Source organism: Homo sapiens, chromosome 3 (assembly GCF_000001405.40).
Source record: "Homo sapiens chromosome 3, GRCh38.p14 Primary Assembly".
In the NCBI taxonomy this organism is placed as follows: Eukaryota; Metazoa; Chordata; class Mammalia; order Primates; family Hominidae; genus Homo; species Homo sapiens.
In genome coordinates this window covers 147,833,926-147,840,708 of record NC_000003.12, presented here as the reverse complement: position 1 = coordinate 147,840,708, position 6,783 = coordinate 147,833,926, and positions in this window count along the sequence as shown.

The window sequence follows — 6,783 nt, the reverse complement described above, 5'->3', positions numbered from 1 at the left end:
GAGGATCACTTAAGTCCGAGCTGTTGAGGCTGCAGTGAGCTGTGTTTGTGCCACTGCTCTACAGCTTGAGTGACAGAGTGAGATCCTATTATAAAAAAAGAAAATGAAAAAAAGAAACAAAAAAAATCTTAGTATGGATGGAAGATTTGAGATTATGAGGAGCTATAATTTTCTGTATAATAATATAGAAATCTTTCTTTCCTGAGGTCATCATTGTATCTCAGACTATAATGGAGAGGTGGGCCAGAGGCTTGAGACAAATTTGAAACATATTTTGATTTTATCCTCCCTTTGAAAGAGACTTCTTATTGCCTACTAAACGTTTTTCTTCCTCCTCTTCAGTAAAACAACTTGAAATTTATGTAGAAAGACACATGGCCTGTAGTTAAAGGGGTAATTTAAATAAGTTCTGACCAATGAGATGTAAGCAGGCAAGTTGCATAGCCCTACCAAAGAAAATCTTCATCCAAAGGAATGAGCTGGCCTTTTTCTCCATCGTTCTGTGTGGACTAGGAAAGTGGCCACTGGAGTTTAAATATCCAACTTGGAACCATGAGGGGGCATACTTAAAATAGCAGAGGAGCAAAACATGACCTCTGAGTCCCATTCCAGCCCTGGAAAGCTGCATCCTGAATATTTTTGCATGAGAGAAATGAACTATACCTTGATTAATTAATTAGTTATTTGGGAGTTTACTGTTAGAGCAGAATTTATTTTATAACTGATGAATTCTCACTGGGATAGAGAAAATTGGAGAGAGGTTATTTATGGGCAAAGACAGTTTGGTTAGAGAGAGGTAGTTTGCTGACAAATGACAGATTAAGGAGACAGCATATTTTGAGAAATGTTTTAGTTTTAGTCTCTAAAAGTTGTGCTCAGTCCTGTGGTCTGAGTGTTTGCCTTCCCACTTCTCCACGCCAATTCATGCTTTGAAACCTGATCCCTAGTGCCACAGTATTAGGAAGTGGGGTCTTTGGGAAGTGATTAGGTCATAAGGCTGGAGCCGTCATGAATAGAATTAGTGCCTTTATAAACGAGGCCCGAGGAGGCTGGTTTACCTCTTTCACCATGTGAGGGCATAGCAGACGGCACCATCTATGATGAATGGGCCCTCATTAGAACTTCTCAGCTTCCAGAATTACTAGAAAGAAGTGTTTGCTGTTTACATACCACCCAGTTTATGGTATTTTTGTTATAGCAGCCCAAACAGACTAAGACACCCAGTTCCTATTTTGAAGTTTTTGTTTTTCACATTGTAATTTCCTTTTGTTATTGCCACGATTTCATTGAGGTTTAGGCAAATGGTATATTCTCGTGTTTTAGGAAATTAAGAAATATCCTGTTTATACCTATACCTGGAGAAGCTATTGTAAAGAAACAAGATTATTTATAATAACTACTAGAGTGATCCAAAGTGAGCTGACTGGTTGACTTGACAAGTGATGACCAGGATGGATTTGTGGAACATGAACCCTCTCCCCTGGTATTCCCAGAAACAATTATTTTCAGTGGGAAATACCATAAAATCCTCGGCTTCATAGCATAGAATGACTTGATTGCTAGTGGAAGATGTTATAAAATGACCATTCTCATGGATAAAAAAATTGAGAATGTTGGGTTATTAATACACACCCATATGCCCATAGGATAATGTCTTAGTCTGTTTGTGCTGCTATAGCAGAATACCACAGCTGGATAATTTATGAAGAACATACGTTTATTTTCCCACAGTTCTTCAGGCTGGGAAGTCCAAGATTAAGGCACTAGCAGGTTTTGTGTCTGGTGAAGGCTACTTTCTGCTTCCATGATGGTGCCTTGTACACTTTGCCCTCTGGAGGGGAGGAACACTGTGCCCTCACATGGCAAAAGGCTGAAGTGCAAAAAGAGATGAACTCCCTCCATCATGCTTTCTTAGAAGTATGCCTAATCCCATTCATGAGGGTGGAGCCCTCATGCCTCAATTATCTCCCAATTGCCATACCTCCTAATACTGCTACATTAAGGATTAAATTTCAACACGCATTTTGGAGGCAACAAAAAAATTTTAACCACAGAAGATGGATTTGAAGCATTATCATTATTATTATTTTATTGTAGTATTGCCTTTAAATACTTACATTTATTTTTAAAAGAGCTGATACTTTTCACTGAAGATTAATTTAATAAAATAAATATCTAGAACCAGAAATAGCATTTGACCCAGCAACCCCATTACTGGGCATATACCAAAAGGAATAGAAATGATTCTATTATAAAGGTGCATGCACATGTATGTTTATTGCAACATTATTCACAATAGCAAAGACATGAAACCAACCCAAATGTCCATCAATGGTAGACTGGATAAAAAAAATGTGGTACATATACACCATGGAATACTATACAGCCACAAAAAGCCATGAGATCGTGTTTTTTGCAGGGATGTAGATGAAGCTGGAAGCCATCATCCTCAACAGGAATAAAAAGCCAAAACCACGTGTTCTCCTCATAAGTGGGAGTTGAGCAATGAGAACACATGGACACAGGGAGGGGAACAACACACACCAGGGCCTGTCAGGGAGTGGGGGCGTTGAGGGGAGGGAGGGCATCAGGACAAGTAGCTAATACATACAGGGCTTAAAACCTAGGTGACAGGTTGATAGGTGCAGCAAACCACCATGGCACATGTATACCTGTGCAACAAACCTGCACATTCTGCATATGTATTCCAGAACTTAAAGTAAACAAAAAAAAAACACTGTAAAATTCTACATGTGTTTTCAGGGAATGCATCAGTTTCTTCAACAATACATAATGATACTGAAATAAAAAAAAATTCAGAATTTTTGGAACAGCTGCAAATGAACCTAGGACATATATAAGCTAATGACATATTCAGTAATACAATTCTATTAAGGCTTTCAACTAAAGTAGGCAATGGTTAGTGGGCATATAATGCCTGAAAGTGGAAATCAGCTGATGGCTAAGAGAATCAAAAAAGAGAATTAGAAACTGTGTTAAGAAAGAATAAAATGAAAATCTGACCTATGTTAAGAGGTGTGTGGTTTAAATGTATTGCCTTCAAAATTCAGGTGTTTCCAATGTAATATTATACTATTATACTAAGGAGGTAGATGTTTTAAGAGCTGATTAGGCCAGAAGGTCTTCTCTTTCATGAACAGGATTAAGGACCTATAAAAGAGACTTTACTCAGCATTTGTCTTCTCTTGACTTTCCAGATTCACCATGTTAGGATGCAGCAAGAAGGCCCTCAAAAGATACCAAATGTTGATGCCTTGATGTTACACTTCCCAACCTTCAAAACTGTGAGAAATATTCCTGTTCTTTTCAAGTTACCCAGCCTCAGGTATTCTGGTGTAGCAGCACAAACGGACTAAGAAAGAAGTCACTTGAGAAGTCAAAACAAAAAAAAAATCATTTTTATTCTTCAGAAAGCCTTAGAACAGATCAATAATATTTTCTTCAAAGTAGCAAAACCAGCATTTGATAAAGCTAAAAGAACTTTTGTGAATAATTTTTTGTACAGAAAATATTCCACTAGGTAAGAGGGTTCAAGAAGCAGCTGGTGTGTGCTGCTCTCCCAATGAGGAAACAAAGTGGTGAGTAAATACTGACTTTTCAAGTGAATCATCTGAGAAAGCATGTGAGCATCCTTTAAGGGAGTCAGGGGACACATGGAGAACAGAGAAGAGTGAAGGTAAACAGCTGCCCACCTGGGACCAGTGCAAAACCAGGAGAAGCTCCCTGAGATGGGGAAAGTGGGGGAGAATAAGAGTCCCCAGGGGATCCACATTTCCCACAGGGACCTGTGCAGTATTGGGAAAGGGAGAACCTCCCTGACTCCTTGCCCCCCCAGGCCTCCAAATTGATACAGGGAGTCATCCAGAGCTTTTGCAGAGGTACCACTCAAGACTGGAAGGAGCCCCACAGGCCTTGGATCCATGAGCAGCTCAGCATCAGCTGCCATGACACCAACAGAGGCTGTGGTCATGGTTCTGGGGAATGGTCAAGCTGCTTCACTCCTTCTTGCCAGACAAGGCTTGGCTCCTGCCTCTAGCACAGTGGTCCCACCACTGCCTGAACTCTGCAGCCAAGCACAGCTCTGTGTTACCCCAGGAAGCACATGGATGGTGATCTGTGCTACTCCTCCCACATTTGCTGCTCTTAGCTATGCAAGACTCACCAGCATGGGTGGAGCCCAAACAGGGGAGGAGCCTCCACTCTCTGAATACTGAGAGGGGTGAGATATCTGGGTTCATGGGCTGGCAGGGGAGCAGGGTATACTTCCCTCCCCAAGGCTGGTCCAAGAAGGGGTGTGGCCTGTCTACCAGCTATAGCTTCTGCCTAAGGGAACCCTGTGGGTGTGAAATACCTAACAAACGAAAGACAGGTGCAGTGCCAGTGATTGGAGGAGGCTCTCCCAAGGCGCAGGAGAACTGGCGAGAGGGTCATCTCTCCCCACCTGACCACAGAGCACTACTTAGAACATGCTGAAATACAAAAGAGCCACACAGCTAAGTAAAGCCTATTTGCCAGTCATCACTCTTAAGTTCCATCTAATGGATTCCAGCCAAAATTACAACACCAAAAATATTTTGCCAGCATACAGTGCCTGTGAAACCTAAGGCAAAAAACCAGCCACAAATTAAAATCCTGTACAGAACTTAGCCATTTGAAAGCACCTGGAAATGAAGCCAACTGACTATACTCATCTTATATCGCAGTTAAAAGAACACTAGCCCTCTCAGATGAGAAAGAATCAGTGCAATAATTCTGGCCATCCAAAAGGCCAAAGTGGCTCCCTACCTCCAAACAAACACACAAGCCCCCACAAGCAATGATTTTTAACCAGACCAAAATGACTGAAATGACAGACATAGAATTCAGAATCTGGATGTTAAGAAGTGTGTCAAGATCCAGGAGAAAGTTGAAACCCAATTCAAGGAACCCAATAAAATTGATCCAAGAGTTGAAAGATAAAATAGCCATTTTAAGAAAATACCAAAAAGAACTCCTAGAATGAAGAATTTGCTATAAAAATTTCATAATACAGTCAGAAACATTAACAGCAAAATAAACCAAGCCAAAGAGACTCAGAGCTCCAAGACCGGTTATTCAAATCACCTCAGCAGTCAGAGAGAATATTAAAAAAGAATTTTAAAAATGAGCAAAACCTTCAAGAAATCTGAAATTATGTAAAGAGACCAAATCTATAACTTATTGGCATTCCTGAGAGGGAAATAAAGAGAGTAAGCAACTTGAAAAACATATTTGAGGACATAGTCCATGAAAAATTTCCCAATCTTGCTATAGAGATGGACATGCAAACTCAGGAAATACAGAGAACCCATGTGAGATACTCCACAAGATGACCATCCCCAAGGTGCATAGCCATCAGATTCACCAAGGTCAACAGAAAGAAAAACTCTTAATTGCAGCTAGACAAAAAGGTCAAGTCACTTACAAAGTGAACCTCATCAGGCTAGCAGCAGACTTCTCTGCAAAATCCTTACAAGCCCAAAGAGATTGGGGATCTGTTTTAAGAATCCTCGAAGAAAAGAAATACATCTAACCAAGGAAGTGAATGGTCTCTCCAAAGAGAAGTAAAAAACACTGCTGAAAGAAATCACAGATGATACAAGTAAATGGAAAAACATTTCATGCTCACAGATTGGAAGAACCAATGTTGTTAAAATGGCCATACTCTCAAAGCAATTTACAGATCCAATGCTATCCCCACTAAAATACCAATGCCATTTTCTTTTACGTAAGAAAGAACTATTCTAAAATTCATATAGAACCAAAAAAGAGCCCAAATAGCTAATGGAATCTTAAGCAAAAAGAACAAAGCCAGAGGCATCACATCATTTGACTTCAAACAATAATATTATAAAGTCACAGTAACCAAAACTGCCCAGTACTTGTAGAAAAACAGGACACATAGCCCATTGGGACAGAGTAGAGCAGCCAGAAATAAAGCAGCACACCTACAAAAAATCTGATTTTCAACAAAGTCAACAAAAATAAGCAATGGAGAAAGGACTCCCTATTCAATAAATGATGCTGGGATAAGTGGCTAGCCATAGATAGGAGAATGAAACTGTGCCCCCACATTTTACTATGTACAAAAAAGCAATTTAATATGGATTAAAAATTTAAGTGTAAGACCTCAAGCTATAAAAATCTTAGAAGAAAACTAAGCAATACCCTTCTTGACATTGACTTCAGCAAATAATTTATGGCTAATTTCCCAAAAGCAACTGCAACAGAAACAAAAATTGATAAGTGGGACATAGTAAAACTGAAGAGCCTCTGCACAGCAAAAGAAATTATCAACAGATTAAACAGCCTACAGAATGGGAAAAAATATTCATAAACTATGCACCTGACAAACATCTAATATCCAGGATCTACAAGGAACCAATAAAATCAAGAAGCAAAAACCAAATAATCCAATTAAAAAATGGGCAAATGACATGAAAAGATACGTCTCAAAAGAAGGCATGCAAATGGACAACAAACATGACAAAATGGTCAGATTCACTACTTGTCAGAGAAATGCAAATCAAAGCCACGATGAGATACCATGTCACACCAGTCAGAATGGTGATTACTAAAAAGTCAAAAAACAGCAGATGCTGTCGAGGCTGCAGACAAAAGGCAACACTTATGTACCGTTAGTGGGAATACAAATCAGTTCAGCCACTGTGGAAAGCAATTTGGAGATTTCCCAAAGAACTTAAAACAGAACTATCATTCGACCCAGCAATCCCATTACTGGGT